Source organism: Homo sapiens, chromosome 13, assembly GCF_000001405.40.
Source record: "Homo sapiens chromosome 13, GRCh38.p14 Primary Assembly".
Taxonomy (NCBI): Eukaryota; Metazoa; Chordata; class Mammalia; order Primates; family Hominidae; genus Homo; species Homo sapiens.
In genome coordinates, this window is record NC_000013.11 from 40579878 (window position 1) to 40604641 (window position 24764).

A 24764-nucleotide genomic window follows, 5' to 3' on the forward strand; every position below is an offset into this window, starting at 1 on the left:
TGACAGTGAACATCAATCATGACACCCCTGAAACCTATTGCACACTATTTGCAACTAAAATACAGGGTGCTCTTTATTACCAATTATACGAGCTCTGTATGGTCAATTACTTCTTTTACAAGACAATTTTGATGAATACAATAATGTTGCTTCCAGGTGGTGAATATAATGGGGCTTTTTACTTTGTAGATTACCTTTGCATGTTGTCTTTTTTGCTGCTGCTGTTAAAGAAAGAGCATTTTACCTTTCATAATGTTGCTACATTGGGGTAACAAACAAAAACCCAGGCATTTTCCTTTCTCATATATTCATTCAAAAACAAAGCAGTTCCTATCAAGTGGAATATATCCAAGTGAAATATATATAATGTTTATACAACACACACACACCTGCATAACCAAATAATAAGTTGTAGTTTGCAAACTATATGCTAACATTTTTGTTTTTCCAGGAAACAATATATCTTTCCTTAAGCAGGAGACGGGGAAAGAGAACAACAATTTTACACAAAACTAGTGGCTGAGGAGCGTGGGCTTGCTGTCACACAAACCTGGAATCTACATCCAGTACTGGCACTTAGCAAATGTGAGACCTTGGCTGAGTCACTTTACCTCTCCAGGCTTCAATCTCCTCATCTACAAAATGGGGATAAACAACTTCCATTCCAAAGCATTTTTGTAAGGACTAAAATGAGATAATCCTACAAAGCACTTATAAATATTAGATATTATGGGCACAAAATCTCAAGCAAATGTCTAGCCCCTGGCTCCAAGCAAGGCACACCTCATCTGACCTCATGTCACCTCCCTGCACACATTCAAAGAAAACCCAGTGCTGGCATGTTCCTTAAGCAAAACACATAGAGGACACTTGTCCTCAATGTTTACGCAATCACTATTAGCAGTAGCAACAAAAGATGCTGTCATTTGAAGGTGAAAGTCATCCAGGACACAATCAAGCAAAATAAGTTCAAGTCCCTAACATCTCATGGCCAGAAGCTCAAAGACCCTGAAGAACAAGGTGAGGCTCCAGGAAAGTATCTACAGCACTGCTTAGCCTTCGCCTACACACTTAAATACCCGGCGCTTCCGCTAGCTAGATGTGGGCCTTCTTGGGTTATGGTCAGGGCAACAACATTGGAAAGCCTGCCAAGAGACGGAGTTGAGATAAGTAAGAAAAACTACAAAAGGAAATGAAATGCTTGGGCACTTTTCTTGGAGACAGAAAGAGCTTTAGACTTTTCTGGGACACAACAGGTGTCCAGAGAGCATCACTGAAAATCTGGCCAGGTTTTGTGATCCCTTAACCCCCTTTTTTGGAAAAACCTGAAGTGACACTGCTTGAAGGCAAAAAAGGGGAGCGAGCACAAACAGGGCCACAACAGCCTTCACACTTGTTGCTGGAACACATGCCTTCACCTTTGAAAGATACTCATGAGAACTTGCAGAGGGCTGTCTTCATACAATAGTACAAATTGTGTTTAAATTGAGAAACCAGCTGCTCGCTCCTTGATCAGTCATCCTTTTATCATCAACAGAACTTTAATTAGCCCCCATCTGCTTCCTGTTTTATGCTACAAATCTTAACTTTCACCTGTTTGAACCAAACTGCAGTAACTACACCCATAGTAAATTAAAACAATTAACTTTCCATACAACATGCAATTAATCCTCATTAAGCTGTTATTAGGCTATTCAAAATAACACAGAATTCAAATCAACTAGTTTCCCACAAATGACAATGTTCTATACAAAAATTCAACAGAAACTCTATCCCACCCACTTCTTGCATTTTTTTCCATTAAGAAGGTTTTCAAGCTGTCTGGCTTCAATTTCCTGATTTAACTATTAAGTATGGGGCCATATCTGGTCATGTAAGAACAATACATCTCAAAAATATCATGCTGACTTTTATTAAAGAAAATCAAGTTACAGAATGGTGTTTACCTTAAATGATAACATTTATGTAAAGCTTTTTTTAAAAAGGGGATCCTACAAAGAATTTGTGGACCCCATCTATCAGCACAGCCAGGGTACGGGCTTCTGGCAGGAAAGGTGCCCTTCAACACACAAACTCTGGAATTAGTGGCTACCTCTGGGACAAGGAGGGGAAGAATTATATTTATAGCTAAAACAGAGAGGTAGAATATGGGTACTAATTATATTGGTCTCTATGCCTTTCTTCATGTATGAAATACAGGCCTACCTTAGAGATACCTCAAGTTCACTTCCAGAATACCACAATAAAGCAAATATCACAATAAAGTAAAAACAAATTTTTGTTTCCCTGTGCATAAAAGGTATGCATTATATTGTAGCCTATTAAGTGTGCAATAGCCATATTTTAAAAAAATAATGTACACATCTTAATTAAAAACTTTTATTGTTAAAATATGCTAATAATCATCTGAGCCTTCAACGAGTTGTGATCGGTTGCTGGAGGGCCTTTGCCTCAATGTTAATTACTGCAGTCTGATCAGGGTGGTGGTAGCTAAAAGCTGGGATCGCTTTGGTAATTTCTTAAAACAACACAATTAAATTTGCCTGATTGATTGACTCTTTCTTTCACGAAAAATTTCTCTGTAGCATGTGATGCTGTTTGATAGCATTTTACTCACAGCAGAACTTCTTTCAAAATTAGAGTCAATCCTCTCAAACCCTGCCACCGCTTTATGTAATATTCTAAAGCCTTTACTGTCATTTCAACCATGTTCATTCACAGCATCTTCACCAGAAGTAGATTCCATCTCAAGAAACCACTCTCTTTGCTCATCCGTAAGAAGCAAGTCCTCATGAGTTCAAGTTTTATCATGAGATTGCTGCAATTCAATCACATCTTCAGGCTCCACTTCTAATTCTAGTTCTTTTGATGTTTTCACCACATCTGCATCTACTTCCTCTTCTGAAATCTTGAACCCCTCCCAGGTCATCCATGAAGACTGGAATCAGCTTCTTCCAAATTTCTATTAATATTGCTATTATGACCTCCTCCCATGAACCACAAATTTCTTAATGGCATCTACAATGCTAAATCCTTTCTTGAAGATTTTTAATTTTACTTTGCCCAGATCCATCAGAGGAATCACTATGGCAACTTGGGCCTTAATAAAATATATTTCTTAAATAATAAGACTTGAAAGTCAAAATTATTTCTTGACCCATGGGCTGCAGAACAGATGTTGTGTTAGCAGACAAGAAAACACCACTAATCTGCTTGTACATCTCCATCAAAGCTCTTGTGTGAGGAGGTACATTATCATTGAGCAGTTTAATATTTTGAATCTTTCATCCTGAGCAGTAGGTCTCAACTGTGGGCTTAAAATATTCAGTAAGCCATGCTGTAAACAGATGTGCTGTCGCTCAGGCTTTGTTGTTCCATTTACAGAGCACAGATAGAGTTGATTTAGCATACTTCTTAAGGGCACTAGAATTTTCTGAATGGTCCATGAGCATTGGCTTCAACTTCAAGCCACCAGCTGCATTACCCCCCTAATAAGAGAATCACAACCTGTTCTTTGAAGCTTGGCATTAACTTCTCCTCTCTAGCTATGAAAGTCCTAGATGGCATCTTCTTCCAATAGAATGCCACTTCATCTACATTGAAAATCTGTTGTTTAGTGTGGCCACCTTCATCAATGGTCTTATCTACATCTTCTGGATAACTTGCTGCTCCTTCACTTTGTACTTTCATGTTATGGAGATGGCTTCTTTCCTTACACCTCATGAACCAACAACCTCTGCTAGTTTCAAACTTTTCTTCTGCAGCTTCCTCACCTCCCTCAACCTTCACAGAATTTAAGAGTTACGGCCTTGCTCTGAACATGGCTTTGGCTTAAAGGAATGTTGTGACTGTTTTGATCTTCTATACAAACCACTAAAACTTTCTCCAGATCAGCAATAAGGCTGTTTTGCTTTCTTATAATTTGTGTTCACTGGAATGGCATTTTTAATTTCCTTCAAGAACTTTCCCTTTGCATTCACAACTTGGCTGACTGGCATAAGAGGCCTAGCTTTTGGACAATCTGGGCTTTATACATGCCTTCCTCACTAAGCTGAATCATTTCTAGCCTTTGATTTACAGTGAGTGAGATCAGATGGTGTGACTCTTCCTTTTATTTGAACATGTAGAAGCCATTGTGGGGGTTTTAATGGCCTAATCTCAATATTGTTTTGTCTCAGGGATAGGGAACCCTGAAGAGGGGGAGACAGATGGGGAATGGCAGGTTGGTGGAGCAGTGAGAACAAACATTTATCAGTTAAGTTTGCAGTCTTATATGGGTATTAGAATTTTTTTTAATAAAAAGCTCCTCAAGTGAGTCTAATTCCACTCTCTAAAACTCATCCCTTGAGAAAGGCTGAATAACAATCCACATATACCTCCAAGGCAGAGAGACCTTGCTCACCCATCTCAAAACTGCCCCCACTCACCTACCTAGTCAGTACCTGAAATGTAAATATTATTTGGGGCTGGGCATGGTGGCTCACACCTGTAATCCTAGCACTTTGGGAGGTCAAGGTAGGCATATGGCTTGAGCCCAGGAGTTCAAGACCAGCCTGGGCAACATGGAGAAATTCTATCTCCACAAAAAATGCAAAAAAAAAAAAAAAAAAAAAAAAAAAAAAAAGCCAGATGCAGTGGCACGTGTCTATAGTCCTAGCTATTCAGGAGGCTGAGGTAGGAGGATCACCTGAGCCCGGGTAGGTTGAGGCTGCAGTGAGCTGTGATTGTGCCACTGCACTCCAGCCAGGGGGGCAAAGTGAGACCCCATCTCAAACAAACATTATATATATATTTGGATATTATTTGGATGAATCTACAGAGACAATAAGATTTCTTGTCCTGCTATTAATCAGCCCAATAACCAAGCACATAAATTCCCCTTTCCTGAAGGCAACCGAATAAGCGAGTAGTTATCCCTCCAGTCTAATGGTCCGACTCTTCTAGGAAGCTTCGGATGTTATGATTCACTAGGTATGAAGCGCAGCTTGGCAATCTATTAAAGCAGTCATGGTACTGGAGCCAGGTTTGGGAACACCTGAACTACTTTCATGTGTAAGATTCTTTTCAGTTCTACTATTCTAAGAAAATAAGGTAACTATGTTATTCCAGGTAGATTCTGATTTAACAAGAGGAAGATGAAGTCCCAGAATATTCTTAACAAGTATCTTATATGACAGGCAAGTATGAGAAACACTATGTTAGTGGTACTTTTGGTCATTAACACCAAATAATAAAAGGCAATTCATTAGATATTTATGAAAGGATGTCTAAAAAACACAACTGTAATCTTACGGATAAAAAGCCAGTTGGTTCTGGGATCAAATTTTAAGTCATCATTGTTTTTCAGAAAGAAAAACAGAAGCAAGAGTTAAGAGAATAAGGAATGTCAACCTCACCTTGCAATTTCCTGGAATTTTCCTCCCCCGCTTTCCCCTTTAGTATGTAAGTATTTCCTCTGCGCGCGCGCACACACACACACACACACACACACACACAGCCAACTTCACAATGGAGTTTTGAAAAGATTACTGCTCCATATGCCAACAGGCAAGTCAGGGACTCAGTGGAAAGGACACTATTCCAGAGCACAGCCTTCTCCCAGCCAGATCACACCAGCTTCAGCTGTTCCAGCTCTGCAGAGAAAGGGTAATCACTTCTTATCAAACATTGATAACACCTAAAATTCCTTTACAGTTCTGACTTCAGGGTGGAAGTGCAATTCGTATTTGCCCTGAAGACATGAAAAGTGGAATGCGCTTTCATGAGATGAAAGCTTCTGCGGAAATAATTGATTCAGGTGAGCCCTACTCAGGTTAATCTCAAAAGAAAGAAGCAAGAAACCTCATCCAGGAAAGTGGACCCAGCAGCTGCCCATTTTCAAGGGTTGTATACAAAAGCTAAACGACAAGATGTCCAGATGGATGAAAAACCCTATCCTAGCTAGTCTGTGCCAGCAAGACTTAAAAAACAAACGGTGTCTTTTGGGTCTGTTTGATTTAGTACGTAAGTTTAACTAGTTCCATGTTTGAGACCAATCCAGAGAGGGGCTACTTAAAAACTGGCTCAGCCCAAATCATTGTGTGTTCAAGTGACTGACCTGTGAACTCCCTCCTCATTTCCCATATATGGCCAATTCTCCATATATGGATTCATCTACCTGTTTCCCCTAACTTCAAGGCTGCTGCCATGACACAAAGGTCTTGAAAGAATGTGGGAAAGCCCTCAGGCTAAAACTCTGGATCACAATCCATAAAATAGTGAAACCAATTGAGAGGATTGTGGCTAGCATTTCTGTAAATAATAACAAAACAGTCTTACATAAATGGCTAAGCACAGTACTATTTTGTAAAACTCTTCTATCATTGTGTGCATATGTGCACTGAGTCATACTGTAAAATGGATTTCTCACTATGCATCAAGATGGGAAGAAACTGAGAAAGCCACAGAAACAGAAGGAAACATACTACTTCCTACAGGATATGCTTTCTCTCTCTAAGAAGGGCTTAATAACAAAAGCCCAATAAAATGGTGGCACAGTCCCATCCCCGGGTTTCCAGGGAGACCCCAATCCCATCAAGAACACCTACTCCTCACAGGCAACAGAGGCACCCCCTTGTGAAGCTGTTCAGCAGCCTGCACAGAAGATATGACTCTTGCAGTCTGGAATAAAAGGCACCAAATGGGAAATAGTGTGTAGGGATAAAAGGTACCAAATGGGAAATAGTGTGTAGTATCAGTTTTGACAATTTTTGTAACCAAGTAACTTTTGAGCAAGTTACTCATTTCTCATTTGCTTATCAACAGAATGATCATGGAATGCTAAACCTCTACAGGGTGCAATCTTAAGGAAATGTTACTACTTAAACCTTTTACCTGCACAAGACTGCCCCTCTGTCTTTCCTCTCTGATGGGTACGGAAGTTACTGACATGCAAAGTCAGCACAAGGGAACCGTGGCTCAGGCAAACGAGGAAAAATGAATTTAGATTATGTTTACAGCCAAGGAAAGGAGACACGTTGAACAATCCTCTACTGGAAACATTGCTAAAGTGTTTTTAAACTGAAGATTATACCACCACTTAAGATATTTTTTGTCTGCTATTTTACCCAGCATATTACAAAACTGCATCTAGGACTGAAATAGCAGATTGCCTCAAGAGCAAATGACAATATTTGTACCAGAAATGTTGGCAACCAGCAGCACAGATGGGTTTCTGCACAGCAATCTTCAAACTGGGACTCCAAGAATAACTCCACCTACTGCACCAATGTTAAATTGCTGAATCCAAAGTCAGAAGGGCTCATTATTCCATATTTTTCCACCACCTTCTTCCCAAAGGCACGTGTACCTGCCTGACCTCCTCTGCCTGAGAAGGGCTCAGAACAAAGTAAAAAAAAAAAAAAAAAAAGTGGGAGTGGGCAGGGCGGAGCAGGAGACCACAATAAGAAGCAAATACGAACAGATAGTGAAAGATTGATTATCCGTGAAAGGAAGGAAAACAAAAATGACTGGAAAGTCCAGATAAGCCAAACAGCTATTTACATGACTAGTTTTAAACTTCCCCTTCAAATACAAATAAGAAAAAATAAAGATTTATCTTAATTTCATCTCCTCTCCAAGGCTGGGTACCCTTGCTTGAGGAGTCAAATAAAAACTTATTTTTGCTAAAAGACTCAAGGACAGAGAGAGAAGCTGCCATTAACCATGTTGATTACTAGGATGGCCCCAAAGACAGTCCATCTATACCTAAAGCACGGCTCAAGTGCTTGGAGAAAATCTTTGTTGCTTCTTCCACATCTGCTCTTCCTGCCTGCCAACTGAGATGCACTGTTCTCCCTCCATTCCTCTGCATTTCTACCGAATGGTCTGGAAAGCCAAATGAAACGGAAGTCTTCACTTAATGAGACATTAATTATGAAGTCCATCCAACTAAAGTGCTGTCTTCAGTGTTCACAGTAGCCTCTCCCCACCTTTTAAAAGGGCCAGAGGGTTGATGGTGGTAATGGGTCTCTGCCTCTGTGCCACCCTAGGTTGACTTCCAGGGGTAAACTTTAAGGCCTTTCATGTGAAAGAGAGTCAATGCACTAACATTTTCGGGCTAGAACGGCACTTTTCAAATTGCATAACACAGAGTACAGAGCACTACTGCATTATGCTCCATATCCTCACATCTGCTATGGTGCGGGAGGAAGCCCAGGATAGAAAGGATTCAATTCAATTAACAGAACCTTGGGAGTTCAGGCAAGCAGAATCCTACATTTAAATAAATGCCCATTTAACCCTAAAGAAACTGAGTAGAGGAGGATTAGGGAGTGCTCATCTTCCACCTTTCCTCTCCAACAATCAAGGTGTTCCTTGCTCAGGCTCTACTTACAATTCCCTGAACTGCACAGTCAGGAAGTTTGAGTGTATCTGCACAAGACTTCTCTAGCTTCATTACCAAACCTTGAGTCACCTGAATCCGAACAGGCCAACTGATGTTTTAAGTGGAACAAAATTCCCTGCCTACCTTTTCTTTTTCCATTTATTGGGCTAAAAAGGTAGTGAAAATGTGGGCGGTTAAACCCTCCATAACCATCACTAACAGAAGCAAACAAATGTTCACAGAATCCCAAAGTCCAGGAACAAATTATATTTAAGTTTTCACCCTTAAACTGAGTTTAAGATTTTGGGGGGGACATTTACTCCAAGCCAAAAAGTTATCCTAAGAAGACCCCTCACTTACAGGGGCTGGGAAGCACTATGATTATTTTCCTGTTATCCATCTAATCTCAACCCACCCCGGCAGAGGCCCCAGCCTAATGAACAACCCTCAACCAAATCTTCCTGAAAGAATTCAGAATGAGCAACTATGGAGGTCTCCTTGGTAGAATAAAGGGCCTGTCCCTCATAAAGACAACATAAAAAGAGTCAAGGACACAAGTGATTTAAAAGTGTCACTGATTGACCAGGAGTGATGACTCACTCCTGTAATCCCAGCACTTTGGGAGGCCGAGGTGGGCAGATTGCTGGAAGTCAGGAGTTCAAGACCAGCCTGGCCAACATGGTAAAACCCCATCTCTATTAAAAATGCAAAAATTAGCCAGGCATAGTGGTGCATGCCTGTAATCCCGGCTACTTTGGAGGCTGAGGCACAAGAATCACTTGAATCCAGCAGGCAGAGGTTGCAGTGAGCCTGAGATCGAACGACTGCATTCCAGCCTGGGCGACAGAGCGAGACTCTGTCTAAAAAAAAATAAATAAGTAAATAAATGAAAGTGTCACTGATGCCAACTGTCCATAAGACAGTCAAGGCAGACCATCAAGAAATGGCTGCAAGAATATTCTACATTCAAAGACATCTCAAAAGTAACTATCTATTCACATAAACAGTTTAATACAACTCAATCCAATTCTTGCCAATTCTAAACAAGAAAAGACTGGCATAAAATATAAATCTTCTCCCCAATCAAGGCCAACAATGAAATTAAAGAAAAAAAACTCTCACATGAGTACAGTCTGTATTATTTATAGAAACAACTTTCATATCCATTTCAAGTTACTTAAATTCAAAACTTGCTAATAATAGAAACAGTATGTAAGTGTCACTAAAACCGGAAACTGCTGCAAAATAACAGAATATTTCAGAGTCAAATTCAAGGATCTGTGTTGTAAAATATTTCGTCTTTGTTACTCTATCAGCATTTAATTTATAAAAAGTGAACATGTTCTACTTTGGTTAATTAACCACTAACATAAGTCAAATAATGAATGCTGCTGCCTCCTAAATTAATCAGAATAGATTAACAGAATCCTTTGAGCTTATTGTTTCAGAACAAATTTCAAAGCCACCACAGTAACTTTCTGGAAGTTAAGAAAGAGGAAATGTGCTTCTCATGTCAACAGCAGAGCAGTTTTCAGGAGTCCCATTGTTTCAGTGCAGGGAGCTCAGCTGTCCTGGACTGTCCTGAGTCAAGACAGGAAGAGCTGTCAGACTTCTGGGGCTGATCACTCAAGCATGACTGGACAAGACCAGAAGCAGCAGATGTTTAAAGGGTGATGGGAAACAACTATGCAAAGAAGGAAACACTAGTAACTTGAAGAGTTACCAAAGCCTCACTCTGTTGACATAATTTGCAATCAATAAATACGTTTTAATAAAAGTCTGCAAGTTTGTACGATGGGAGCCTCTCTCTCCCTGCTGCTGTGGCCCCTACCCAACTCCTCCCAATAACAGCAGTACTATTTTACAACCCCTAGAGCAGGTCTTAAAATGTAAGAGAGATTTTAAAACCATCATTTCTGTCCAAGAATGACTATTCTGGCATAGTGACGCAAAGAAAAGCCATTCAGATAAACAAGAAACCTATTCTCCAAGAACAAGGAATTGGATTAGACTAGTAATATCTAATAACATCTAAGCCCAATGATGCAAACAAAACAACACAACAGGAATGTGTACTATACTATGGGCCAAATGCCGCAAACAGAAACCTTCTCCTTGCTAAGACTCTTCGGTCTCTTCTTACATAAAGACTCCAGGCAATTACTGTCCCCAAAATAGCTTTCTTTCCAAAATGACCATTAACCAAATGCCCCTCTTGCGGAGTTACAGAAGAGGATAGATGTCAAGTGTTCCATCAAGTGGAACAAGAACTAAAATATGGAACCTTGAAACCACAACTGCTGATATACCAAGGATGAATCCCAATAAACCAGAAAACTCACTCAAAAGTTTAGTTTTCCATCTCCACAGCATGGGTTATCCCAGCAGTCTCAAAGGCTCACACCTGTTTCACTGGCTCAGCTTTGCCGTCAACGGGAGATGTGGAGATATGCTGCAATATCGTTCCAGTTTCAATAACATACCACGCTGGACTAATGCCTTCTGTGTGGCTTTTTTTTTCTTTTTTAAGAATATCAAAATGCTAGGGGCTTGAGAGAGATTTAAACATTTCACCTGGTACAAGTAGCATTAGGACTTTCAAAAATACCAAATTGTTCACATCACAATGTTTCACTTAACGCTACACTTTACGAGCTGGCCATCAAAATCCTCTTCTACTTCATACCTACTCTCCTCATTTATCACTTTCTGGTTTCTAAGGTACTAAAGTATTGAAAAAGAAAAACACAATGCTCAGGTTCTGGAAGGCCTCTCGGAGGATGGGGCCTGGGGACAGATGGAGGACCCCTTTATACCAAAGGCAAGAGGACTAGCAGTCCCAAGTGGAGAGGGAGGACTGCTTCAGAGTTCAACAGAGGTCCATCGTTTCTGATCTGCAAATCAGCTCAGAAATAAAAGAGACTCTTCCTGCCAAAAAAAATACAAAGCAAGAAGGGGAGCAATGAGAAATCCAACAGGGTCAAACACCTTGAAAGGGGGCAAGCTGTAGCTTGCTGCTACTGCTAGGAGGGCAGCAGTGTTGAGTTTCCTAGCCGGGTGGCTCCCACGTTCTGGACACGGCACCATGAGGAGGTCTAGGCAGAAAGTAGCTCATAGGGAAGAGGCAAGGCTCACAAAGAGAAGGATCATCAGCAGTGCACTTCAGTCAAAGTTGGTGCAATTGAATTTTGAGCAGCTGAAGGTCCAGAGACCTCCAGGAATGGAGAAGTACAAAGCAGCCAGAGGCCCAGAACAGGAAACCTGGTGCCATACTTACTGGGCAGGCCAGCCAGGTAGGGCGCCCAAGAGGGATGATGGAAAGGACAGACAGCAGAGTGGAGACTAGCAGATGATACATTCTGGGTGGCTATAAATAAGAACGCTTTAGACCATAAAGGCCAATTGTTTTATAATTTTACTAGTCTTGTTACTTTCATAAAACTATAGCAAAAACTACTAAAAATATATATATTTTTTGAGACAGAGTCTCACTCTATCGCCCAGGCTAGAGTGAGGTGGCTCGATCTTGGCTCACTGCAACCTCCACCTCCCAGGTCCAAGCAATTCTCATACCTCAGCCTCCTGAGTAGCTGAGATATTTTTACAGCTGTGTGCCACCACGCCAGGCTAATTTTTGCATTCTTAGTAGAGACAGGGTCTCATGATGTTGGTCAGGCTGGTCTCGAGTTCCGGGCCTCAAGTGATCCACCCGCCTTGACCTCCCAAAGTGCTGAGATTACAGACGTGAGCCACCGCACTCAGCCCTATTAGAAATTTTTTGTTTCTACAGCTCCATAAGTAAATTAGAGCTCTGCCAGTAGATTAAATGAAATAAATCACTACACTTGAATTCTCACAAACTGTGACATCTGTATCCTCACCCATCAACACAACCTGTATATTACCTATGCATTACTCTTCCAAACTGGGTAAACCAGAATGTGCAATCCCCATCTTATTCAATCTTCATGCTACTCTGATCTCCAATCTCCAGCACTCCGCTTACTAAATTCCAGACAAACTAATTGAGGACCTGTATCCTGATCATGATTTAAAAAAAACAACTTCATCAAAACTCAGGACAGAGAAAGTTGCTCTCAGCTCACTGTACAATTTGTTTTGTGAACTAGACCTGCAATATCTTTGAAGGAGTTACCTTAAATTATTAAAAGCAAAAGACCCATCTATATCTCAAAGTTCCAGAACAAAGCTTTTCACTTTCTGAATAGCAGCGAAGCAGAAAAGACAACTTAAACCAGAAGGGTGCCCTGATTACTACATTCCTCCCAAACATGTTCTGAATATCTCCAATTCTCCTCTCCTGCCTCTTGGAGGAACACAACCAGAACTACAGCATCAGGTTAACCTTGTCTTGAATGTAAGCTCCTGAAGATCTAAATATTTTGTCTCACACTTTGTCTTTCTGCAATACTTAGCACAGTCAGGAAACCAGACTTTTAATAACTAAAACAGAATTTAAATTACTCCCTCACTTTTTCCAGTTTCAATAATCCCAATCCCTATTTTCCAATCCTTTACACTTTATTGCTTCACAGTGATGGCAGGCCCCTATTGTCTTCCCAAGAAATGGTAAAGGCGTGTACAGGAGGCATTTCTGGGTCTCACATGATCAAACATAATTAAAGGTATATGGTTTCTAGTACCAAACCAATAAGCAATCACTTCACAGCCTATATAAGATAATAATTATGTTTATAACACCATTAAAACATCAACTATGCCTCAAGAATAAAGGGAAGCATTTTGTTTTGGGGGCTTTTTTGTTTTGTTTTGTTTCTGAGACAGGGTCTCACTCTGTCACCCACATTGGAGTGCAGTGGCGTGATCATTGCTTACTGCAGCCTCAAACTCCCAGGCTCAGGTGATGGCCCCACCTCAGCCTCCCGAATAGCTGGGACCATAGGCACATGTCACCACGCCTGGCTAATTTTTGTTGGTTTTTTTTATAGAGACAGGGTCTCCCTATGTTGCCCAGGCTGGTCTCGAACTCCTGGGATCAAGTGATCCGCCCACAATGGCCTCACAAAGTGCTAGAATTACAGGCATGAGCCACCGTGTCCAGCCTAAGGAAATATTTTGGAATTAGACTATTTAAAATCTAAGACTCAAAGGGGAGAAGTATTGAACCTCACATCATCCTGCCACTGGAAAACAGTTCACTTCCAGGGTTTCAAGCACCAATTTACAATCATTCCAGGATGTCACTGTCTTCTTCCTAGGTAATCTAAAACTGCAGCAAAGAAAAGTTCTTACCACTGTAGACTGTGCTTTAAAAATATTTCAAGTTCACACTTCAACTATGGTAAAATGTAAGTAATACATATTACTTACTTAATACCTATTACTTACTAAACATACCAACCTATGGCTTAGTTCTATTTATACCAAAGGTAAAGGGAAAAAAAATAGTTTTATTGTTTGCTATTTTTTCAAATGGGAGTTAATTACGTAAAGAATCCTCTGGCTTGCAGTAAATCTACCCCAATATAATGTAACAAAAAAATCAGGACTTTGGATCCTTCTCTGACATCCTTCTGTGCTCCTTAAATAGATATTTCATTGGCTTTCAAGTGCTCAACTTTTGGCTCTGAGATAATTTGCATTTAGTTAAGACATTTTAAGCCACCCTGTCACCATTATAGAGAACTGCCTAATGAGGTCCCCTTAGACGAGGTCTGATTTGACAACCACCCACAATTTTAAGACTAAATTTAATACTAAAATGATCCAAGGTTTTCTAATTTCTCTGAATTTGAAAGGATTTGGTGAATGCCATTCCCTAAAGATGGGGCAGTGGGGAGGTCATATTTCATTAAGGAATATCTTCAGTTTGAAACACTTCCAAGTCAACTATATAATTATCAAGTGAACAGAAAATCAGATAAACTCACAATTTCACCTCTGACTCCTTGAACACAGCATCTCCCTCCTTGAAAAGTTAATGGATAGTGAACAAAAAGACCCACCTGATCACTTCTATGCTCTTCTGGAGTTTAAGGGGGCCAATGGGGGCAGCGGGAGCCAAGCAAAAGTCAGCCAGGATGGAGGAAGAACTGAAGAGCAGGAAGGAGTCGCAGGTGCTCAAGAGCTGGCCAGAGAATGCAAAGCGCTGGAATCTAACCCCTTCATTTCAGGGTTAAGGAAACTGAGGCCCAGGGAGACAAAGTTATTTGCCCAGTCACAAGGCCAGGAAGTGATGGGAAACAGGCCCAGGTTACCTAAATCTAGTTACTGAAAGAGCAGAATGCATGGACATTAATTAACAAAAACAAACGTTCAACCTGCCACAGTGGGGAGCACCTTTCTGTGCGTTCACCTCACACTTTTCTCCAATAAAGAGCACAAGATGAAGGCAGGGGAGAAGGCGTCAGGGAGCGAGGGTTCTGGATAATACACACGGGCTTCTCTCCTCCATGCCATCTACAGGAGATTCTGTTTTAGAGACAGGGTCTTGCTCTGACACCCAGGCTGGAATGCAGTGGTACAATCATGGCTCACTTGCAGCTTCCAACTCCTAGGCTCAAGCTATCCTCTTGCCTCAGCCTCCCAAGTAGCTAGGACTACAGGTGCAAGCCACCAAGCCAGCTAATTTCTTTTATTTTTTCTAGAGACAAGGTCTCACTATGTTGCCCAGACTAGTCTCAAACTTCTGGGCTCAAGCGACCCTCCTACTTTGACCTCCCAAAGTGCTGAGATTATAGGTATGAGCCACCGCACCAGCATACAGTAGACTTTATATATGCTTATTTGGTTTTGATTTTTATACTTTTATGAGAACTAAGATGGAATCTATCCCTCCTTTTCCCTCACAAAAGGAACATCCTAATAGCTTCACATTGCAAATGAAATACAACGTAAACAGAAAAAACTGAGATGGAGCGATTAGGAGGTTTAATAAGTCAGACTTTGCTAGAAATGCAAAACAGCCCTGATGCTAAACAGGTACACTTGGACTTTTGTTCTCTAAAGCCTAGCTTTAAAAGAGCTTGACACACTTTGTAAAGAATAAAGCCTCCATTCTATAAGCCTAACCAGTAAGTTGGAGGGGGACTGAGTACCATAAAAATCAGTGCTTCTCATACTTGAACATACAAGGGATCATCAGGGATCTATCTATCCTGTCAAAACGCAGATCCTCGTTCAGTATTGTCTGGGGGTGGGCCTGAGATTTCCTGGTGATACTGATGTCAATGGTCCATGCTACAATTTTATCTAAACTGACACATGATAATTAAACATAATTATGGAGTACTGAGTAACACTATGATACATGTATACAGTGTATAATGATCAAATCAGGGTAAAACGGGGCAGGGGTGGTAATATTTCATAAAGGGGCATATTCTGTTAGAAGGGCCACTAAGACAACTATAAAATTATCAAGTGAACAGTAACAGAAATTCAAATAAATTCACAATTTCCTCTGATTCCTTGAACACAGAATCTCCATCCTTGAACGGTTAACAAAATGACCCACCCTGATCACTTCTATGCTCTTCTGAGCATATCACCTCAAACATTTGTCATTTCTCTGTGGGCCATAAAATACAGGAGGTATTTTATGACCACATTTCAAAGTATGTTTATTTCACAATTTGGACTGCTGGCTACAAACAGTGACATGTGAGTCTCTTTCCCTCTGGTTAGTCGTAGGCCCTGTAGAAATGTCAGCTAATTTTTTTTTTTTTTTTTTTTGCGGGAAGGAGGTAGGAGTCAAGTCCAATAAATAAGTGTAAAAACATTCAGTACATGGCATGGTTATTTAATACAACAGAATTTGCTCTGAGTTGGAAGGACAGGGGTTTCAGCCTATGTGTTTATGATACAACAAAGGGACTTTTAGGCTGATAAAGTTATGGAACATGAGACTTCAGTCTTCTTATTAAATGGCCAAATGGACCAAGTGTTTGCATGAAAGCTAATCTTTCCTTTCATGAAAAGGAAATTAAACCCACTTGCTCCCGAATGGGATGATTTTCAGGAGTCCTGAGCCATGTTCTGGCAGAAAGCTGGGGTCTGTGACCATAAAGCAGGACTGCTGTCATCCAGGCAGATAATTATTATCAGGAACGCCTAACATTGCTTCTTTCTGCAGTTTCATGTGCCTTGGTGAAGATGTAAGCTTTCTGAAGACTACCTTGCATACAGCCTTTGTGGGCTACTCCATATATGAGAAATGAAATTTTAAAACTAGCTTTAGGAAGAGATGTAGCTTTGGAGATCCTGACTCAAATCCCTGCCAGTTATTAGTTACATGATCTTGGGCAAATTACTTAAGCTTTCTCTTTCTCAACTATAAAAGGAGGACAACAGATACCTAGTGAGGTTCCAGTGAGATCCTGTACTTGTGCCCAGCCAGTGAGCATCTAGGGTTAGGATTATCACTGTCACCATCAGGGCCATCCTTCTGCAACTGTCTTACTGTACTAAATATACACGTCACTAAGCACGCTCTGTTCTCAATGAAAACGGAAGTTCCATGCCAGCAACATCTAATTTTCAAACATCACTGATAACTCTTGATTTCTGCATACACATCTAAGCACTGTAGTATACTGAAAAGAAAGACCGTAAATCATATGCACAACCATTCTCTCCACTGTCCCCAGTGCCATCTCATCACTGATCCTCCCCCGCCTTCCTACCACCTCCTCTCATCCTCATTCTGTCAAAAGACAGCAAGGTACCCTACCCCAAAGGGGAGGAAGACAGCGCCTAAATCCTCATTCCACCTCCCTACATCAAGAAGAATGTGTCCTTCATGAGCCAGCAGCAACTTATCTCCCCAAGCATGGTCTAATAAGAATGGACTGCTCTTTTGCTGTCAGTTTAGTATTGATCACACGGGGGAGCCTATTTACTAAAAGCAAAAAACTACAAAACCGCTGTTTACAGACAGTTACACGTGATTAATGCTTTAATATCTAGTCTTTCCTTATACATTCTCAATCAATCACCACCATAACCCCAGAATGTATTAGGACTATTATAATTATTATTACCACAGATAAAGACAAAGGCTATTGGAGTTTGTTGCCAGAGATGAGTTCCTGGTCACCCAGCCTTGGAGCCTGTTCTCTTATTTTCTAAGGCAGACATCTTCCCAATAAGAGGGTAGTGGGAACACAAAAACATCTTTATTATCAGAATCACCTATGTAATTCAACTACACACATTTCTGACAGAGCCCAAGGCCCTTTTTTATCAGTCCGAGCTGCATCCCTAACTGTGATCAGGACCTGTAAAGGACAGCCCACCACCTGGAGGCCCTTAGTCATGGCTTCAACAAGGTCCTGTGCCAAAATGGTAAATGGCAATGCTGAGTCAAGGTTGGAGCCTAAACCCTACATCTTCCCCCGGTGAAGGGTCCTGCCCTAGAAAGAACTTTCCCCTAAGTCTCTTCTGCCAATTCAGGGCAGAAAGTAATGGTCAGCCTTGGAACGCTGCTGACTCGCACCCTGGGAGCTTCTAAGGGGCCCTGTTCACCAGGGTGAAGGCGCCTCTCTCTCACTGCCCACACACCCTTCTCCAGCTCAAAGGGCCTTTTCAAAGGGATTAGAGGTGTGCTTCAAAATCTTCATTAAGTAATTTAATAATGTGTGTGTCCAGTACTTCAGTCCCCAAACAGAAAGGAATGTGCCCAGGAGCCGGCAGGCAGAGCCACATTCTTCCTGTTAACCTGTTATGGTGGCGGGCGGTGCTCGGGCCAAGTCCTCAGAGGCTTTCCCAGCCTCAGAGAATCGGGCTCTCGTTTTCAATTTCCAACTTGGACTTTTCTCAGTTTCAAATCATAGGCTAACAGAGGTTGAAGACTGACAGGGAATAAAATCCTCTACCAAGTCAAGACTGTGATAGGCAAAACGGAACAAGCGAATGAAAGAGGCCCCAGTTCAGAGGAGGGAAATGGAAATCTACTCATGGTTAAGTGAGCAGACAGAACACCGGCGAAACTGGCTCTTCAGGTGGAATATGGCACAGGGTAGCAACTTTGTCAAGTATGATGCATTAAATACAGTAACAAATGGGCAGGATGGTAGTTTTTAGTTCAGTTTTTGGGGCTTTTCTGTTGATGTTGTTACTGTTTCTTTAAAGAAGGGGCATTCACACAAATAAATTTCTTTCCCTAAAATTCTGATTGAATTCATGACCATTTCTGATATATTATTTGCAAGAGGGAACAAAAACAAACGAATGAACAAAAACAAACTAATGAAATCAACCAGTCTTTTCCACTAGCACAAAAAAAAAATCACACAACATCAAAACTTTAAAACACAAGTTGATACTTTCTTGAATAGATTCTTTCAGGAATATTTACATATATGTGGTTCACAAGGTCACTACCCACCCAAATTTGTGGGGTGGTTTTTATGAGCTAAGTTCTTGTTTTGCCCTTCCTAATGTCCCATCTCTGAACCTGAATACACCCCCAGCTCTGCTCTACTCCCAGTGTGGTTCTGAGGCCAGCAGCACTGGCATCACTAGGAGCTGGTTACAAATGCAGGACCTTGGGCTTCAGCCCAGACCTACTAAATCAGAACTGACAAGATCCCCAGGTGATTAATATATACACTGAAGTTTGCCATCTCGCAAAATGGTTTATTATTTCATTTTCACAGCTCAATTAAGAAAGTCTTCCTTAGTCATATGTCTTCCTACTAAGTACCATTTATGGATGCTTCTCTGGTAACTAGATGACTTGGGAAAATAAATCTTGTTTGTTGTATGAAACACTTTTAAGATAAAGTTCTTTTTGATATGTACAATGTTTTGGGGGAAGGGAGAATTGCTTATTCCATTAAGAGCTTTCTACAACACACCCTACTGCCATTATTTCTATTGATCAAAAATTTACACTATAAACAAGAAAAAAAAAAAACAAGTATATCCACATTAAACCAAAGATACCAACTGAACAAAACATGGCAATAAAAGTCAAGTGAAAAACACGCTGAAAAAAAAAAAAAGCTTCCAAGGTCTGTTTGCAGAGTTAGTCTTGTCAGGGAAGAATTTATCTACTATACAATTCAGAATGAGAGCGACTGCTTCTGTCTAAAAGAGATGGGATTTCCCCCACATGCCAGGCCTTGCCCTCAGCATTTTATATACTACACTATATAATTTAAGCCTCACCACAGCCTTACACGATTGGCACTGTTTTACTGAGGTCTAATTTACACACAGCCAAAGGCTCAAATGGGCTGTGTACAGCTGGACGAAGTTTTGTACGTGGACCCTGTGAAACCACCACTCACAGGTACTGTCACTTACTAGCACTTATGTTCGTTTTGTTTATTGAAATTTATACAAATGGAATCGTGTGGCATGTGTCTTTGTGAGCCTGGCTTTTTTCATTGAGTGGTTCTAGATAGGGTGGGTACGGAAAAGGGATGCCCTGCTAGGAGCACAGAAAAGTGTAAAATACCTCAAAGGGAGGGAGTGCCCCTCCTCCGGCCTCGGAGGGGTGGTAGAGGAATCTGTAGGAAAGGAAGCTGGAAAGATGGGCCTTTCAGATGGTGAGTGGTCTTGATGCCCAGCAAAAGGATTTAGATTTTATCCTCAAAGTAGCAGAGTGTCTGAAGATGCTTCAGGAGGTGAAATGTTATAATTAAAGTGATGTGTCATCTTGCCCACAGCAGAGTGAAGGAGGAAACTGGAGGCAGCAAGCCGATGAAAAGACCAGTGTAGTGACCCAAGTATGAAATGATGAAATGGTTCCAGCCAACCAGGGGAAGAGAAAGAGGAAAACTCCAAGAAGCTTCAACTCCATGCTCTACTGTGGAGGCAACAGAGTTGAACTGGAGTTTTTCCCACTGACCCAGCGCTGAAAACTATCCTCACCTAAAAAATTATGGTAAGTGCTATTCAAAACCTGATGACTTCAGGAGGAGAAACCCATTTCAAAGAGGAAGACAAGTTCAAGGCAACAGCCAGCCAACTGGTCCCCACTGAGTTGACAAATTAGACCAAAGCTCAGGAGAAAAGATGGAGAGAAATGGACACGAGAGGTGAAGAACAAGATAGCTGGAATTAAATCGGCCTCCAGAAACCATCTGTGTGTGTGTCAAGGTGACAGGCTGAACCAGTCAGAAGGCATCACCACGGAAGTGCACAGGGGCTTTACCTTGGGGGGCACTCACATAGATTAGTAAAAGGAGTCTGCAACATGACAGGAAGAGCGTAGGAGTATGATAAAAATCAAAGACTGTAGCATTAGCAACAATTCCTGCCAATTAGGCATCCAAAATTTAAAGACGCCCTTTCTCAACTCCAACTACTGCAAATGCTGAGTCAGATTCTCCCAAAAAACACAATATTTCAGAAGCTTCATTAACTCCTTCCAGCATCTTCAAAGTATTACTTTGCAAATTACTGTCTGGGTATGCTAAACTTAGTAAATTACTGTTTGGGTAGACTAAATAGTAGTTCAGTACTCTGAAAGAGTTAATGGAGCTTCCAAACTGTCTAATTTAGTCCTAAGGTGATTTTGATAGTCAAGACTCTAACTCGATTTGCATATTACCAATTAGAATTTCAAGGCAATCCAATAAACTGGGCATTCAAAATTTATGTCCAAATTGGATCTAACAGACTTTTATTTAGACTTCCTAATCATCATAAATCTTAGATGATTACAACCAATCAACAGGGGTCTTTCCTCAAGCAATCTACTACAAATTAAAGCTAAAAAGTGATGGAAAAACATAAAACCTGAGATCAGGGTTTGCAGTTAATGTATGTTTGGAAACATGAGTCTGGGCTATGACTGGTCTGTCGAAAACCATCCCACAGCCACAGATTATTATACCTCAATGCCCCCCACCACCCGTTTTCTCTTCTTTGCAGCCATCTTCCCTTTCATCAGACTACAGTAACTTCTGCCACATGACAAATTTGTTCATTAAAGCCCAGTCTTTGAAGGATATTAAATGAGAATTCCTAAGATGAGGCACGTATCTCTTCTCTAAATAAAAACAATAAATAACATAAAAACAAGAATTTAACTTTGGACTTAAAGGTGATTTTTATGTGCTCAAGTCACTTTCCAGTTATGCTGTTAATAGTATTTTACATTATTCACTGACTGAACTTTGTTAATCAAAAACAAGCTGGCAAGCTTTATACATACATTAACCAGTGGCTTCAAAAAGATAACGCATAGAAAACAAAGTGGAAGCACTGCTAAAACAGAAGCAGTCATTTTGTTTAATTAAAACAATATGGCTGACTCTTCCCTATTTTTCAAATTTTCTCTAATATTTTTAAATTATACATACAGATTTAAACACGTATTTGTTCTCAATCCCCAAGCAAACCTGAATAAATCTTCTGAATTGTCCAATATACTAAATATTGATCCTGCAATATAATACTTTAAAAAATTTCTGTTAAAATTCTCAGTGATTAAATGGGTTTTTTGGTCACATTGGCACCTTTTTAGACACGTTTCTAAAAGATGTTGTTCTTGCTTTGTTATTCTTTTGAAAAATATAGAGCAATACCTAAGCATCTTTGTACTAGTACTGTTTTACCACTAATGTCTTGATTTGATAAATACTTTGAAATGGAAATATCACCAAAGATCCCAGTTCAGACCTATTAATTTTAAAAAATAGAATTGTATCTACATTTTCAAATGTTTGCATTTTAAAAATACAGTAACTAGAACTCTCTAGAGAGGTACTATGTTATCAATAATAATGAAATTACATATGCATAGCTTTCAGAGCCAAGAGGCACTAGCTGAAACTACATGACATAGAAAGATTCATGTAAACCTTAGTCCCATCACTAAAGCAAAAGACAAGCATTCTGGTTTTCTCAATTTATTAATATTTTGAGTTCCATCACAGTAGTTTTTTACTAACTACAAATTAAGTAGCCAATCTATGCCTTAATTGCAGGAATAATATGCTTAATATGCTTTCCCCCTCCCTCACTTTCTGAAGATGAATCTGAGCAAAAGAAATGTAGCAAGAACAACCATGTGACAGTGAATCTAAACATGTTCTATGGCATTTAAATTAGTCATTTGCAAGAAACTAAGCCGGCTATCCACAGAGAAATTTTCAAAAGGAATAGGTATATGAGATAACTAAAAGCTTTCAAAGAAAATGTTTAAAGTCTTTTCTCTTTTTCCCCAGTCTCACTTTTGAGGACAAGAAAATTTTAAAATTCAAAGCATAAAACTCATTAATACCGATCCCTTAGGGGATTAAATGTGGAGGGTGGGGGAAGATACATAATCAATGTACCCGAAAAAAAGAAAGAAATTCACATAAACAATGTAAAAGATTATTTCAAACATGAAGGGGGAGAGATTTATCTTCACCTGCTAATACAGCTTAATGCTCGTGTTTTTCTACCCAAGGTCATTTACATTTTTTAAAATGGTTGTTTTAATTTCATTCCAACACAATGCATTCTATCTAGATGGCATGATTTACAAAACCCTGATACAGCACCTTTCAACACTACCTGCCAATCATTTAAGGCTTTTCCAGGATTTGTGTCAGAGATTTAGGTATAGGTTAGCAGCAAATCCTTCTTAGTTGACACATGTGAAGATGGTCCCAAATGCAAAACAAAACAAAACATACTACCAAGCTCACCTACCTGGTAAGTCTTCTGCAAGTTACACTACCATAAAATTAGTAGAGTTCAAGGTCCCAATCCAGAGGCAACTTCATGTAGGATGAGTGATGGATGGATGGGAATGAACACCACACATGCTCTGCTCATACACTCACTCCCTACGTCACTCCACAACTAGGCCACTAATGCAGATCTCAATCTGACAGAGCCATTTCCTCAGTTACAATTCAGGGGGCTGCCAATGGTCCTTCAGGTCTCTCCCAGCTTACGATGCCTGTACCGTGTATTTCCATTTTAGGCTTCTCTCAGGACATGCTTAAGATAAATCTTATTTTATTACAGGGTAATGAGGAGAAACAATATGTATCCTAAAGAAAGTAGGTTAGCTATGGCTTTTGGCAGTCAATGCTCTTAATGCTGCTATTAGGTGGAAAGGTGTTATCCAATCTCAATCCAATCCAAACCAGATGGAGACCCTAGTTGGCAGATGAATCCAAAAAAAAAAAAAAAAAAAAAGGTTGAGTTAAAGCACAGGATTTTAAATATATACATATATTATAAATAAAAAGTATGTATACCTTATATATGTGTGTGTGTCTGTACATGTGTGTGTGTACATATATATGTATTCCTTAAACATTTGCCTTAAAAATATACAGGAAACTGTGCTTGAGGTACAGCAAACCTTTGAACCAAGATACTCTGGCTAGGCTTCCATTCTTTCTTATAAACCCTAAACCCACAGTATATTGTCACCACAGATTTACAATTTGGGTTTCTTTCAAGTGTAAGAGGAATCCAACTGAACCCCTTTCATATCAATCCAACTACAGAGTTCTTCATGGTTTCCCCTAATCTTACAGGGTCTGACTGCAACTAATTTATCAGCAGCTTAAGTCTTTCAAGGGGTTCAACTTAGTTTTTCCTAAAGATAATTATTTTCACATTCATATTTAATAACTAACTTTTTCTTAGGAAAACAATTACTACTGCACAAACACATCTGAAAAAGCACAACTGAGTTTCAAGAAAACTATAACTCAACTACTGTACTAGAGCTTAGCTTTAGCAGTCAGAGTGCCATATACAATCATGAAGTGTGTTTTGTCAAGGGAATTAAGAACTGGGGTTGATGTGGTGTGCTGGGGAAGCAAAGATCAGGTGAGAAAGCTGGAGCAGATGATGGTGTCGCCACAGAAATTTATCCCGAACAATTATGTGCCAAAATGGGGCAAAGACTGGGAAAACTACAGAGTGGCTTTTTAACTGTGTGATTTATATTGAATGTGACAGAATTAGCCTAAATTTTGCAATTTCCACTAAGGAAAAAAAAAAAAGAAGACAAGACATGCCACCTAGAAGCACTATTAACACTTTAAATGTGTGTCACTTGTTCTTACAAGTCAATCTTTTGAAAAATCTAGATAGTGATACTGTATATGTATGTGCATGTACCTACATGTTATTTAAAGCATACATATGACTGAGTGCACTCAACTATCTCATAATTAGTCTGGTGTCAGATCTTTTTTTTTTTTTATCATTCTTGCCTCTGGAATAAACCATATGATCTGTATGTGGTTCTCTTGGTAGGTTTATCTTCCCATGTGCTATTTACACTTATATTAGAATGGATTCATATGCATTCAGCCCAGAATCATATTGGCATCAGGCAAGGACACCTAGCTACCAGCATCTATGACCAGGCAGACACATACACATAATCTATACTACAGAGAACTAACTGAAAGGTGATGCTACTTCATCACAAGCCTTTCTCGGC

The 24764-nt window shown here is 40.1% G+C and overlaps 1 protein-coding gene across 4 annotated transcripts in view, besides 2 other annotated features; it reads right to left on the minus strand.

Moving 5' to 3' along the window:
* The window catches only part of FOXO1 (forkhead box O1), a 110975-nt gene that overhangs the window by 24211 nt on the left and 62000 nt on the right, over positions 1-24764 (minus strand). The window contains exon 1 of one of the 4 annotated variants that reach the window (XM_011535010.3): positions 1-23475. This exon is cut by the window's left edge and continues 17189 nt beyond it. The exons of the other annotated variants lie outside the window; for them this stretch is intronic. The gene's annotated coding sequence lies outside the window, so the exon portion shown is untranslated. Of the gene's footprint in view, positions 23476-24764 lie in introns of those variants that run through there. 4 annotated transcript variants of the gene reach the window in all.
* Positions 9832-9891: an enhancer, noted in NCBI's record as "active region_7609". NCBI's record gives its function as "activates an Ori minimal core promoter by ATAC-STARR-seq in GM12878 lymphoblastoid cells {active_cell/tissue: GM12878}" and the evidence as "EXISTENCE:reporter gene assay evidence [ECO:0000049][PMID:35858748]".
* Positions 9902-10141: an enhancer, noted in NCBI's record as "active region_7610". NCBI's record gives its function as "activates an Ori minimal core promoter by ATAC-STARR-seq in GM12878 lymphoblastoid cells {active_cell/tissue: GM12878}" and the evidence as "EXISTENCE:reporter gene assay evidence [ECO:0000049][PMID:35858748]".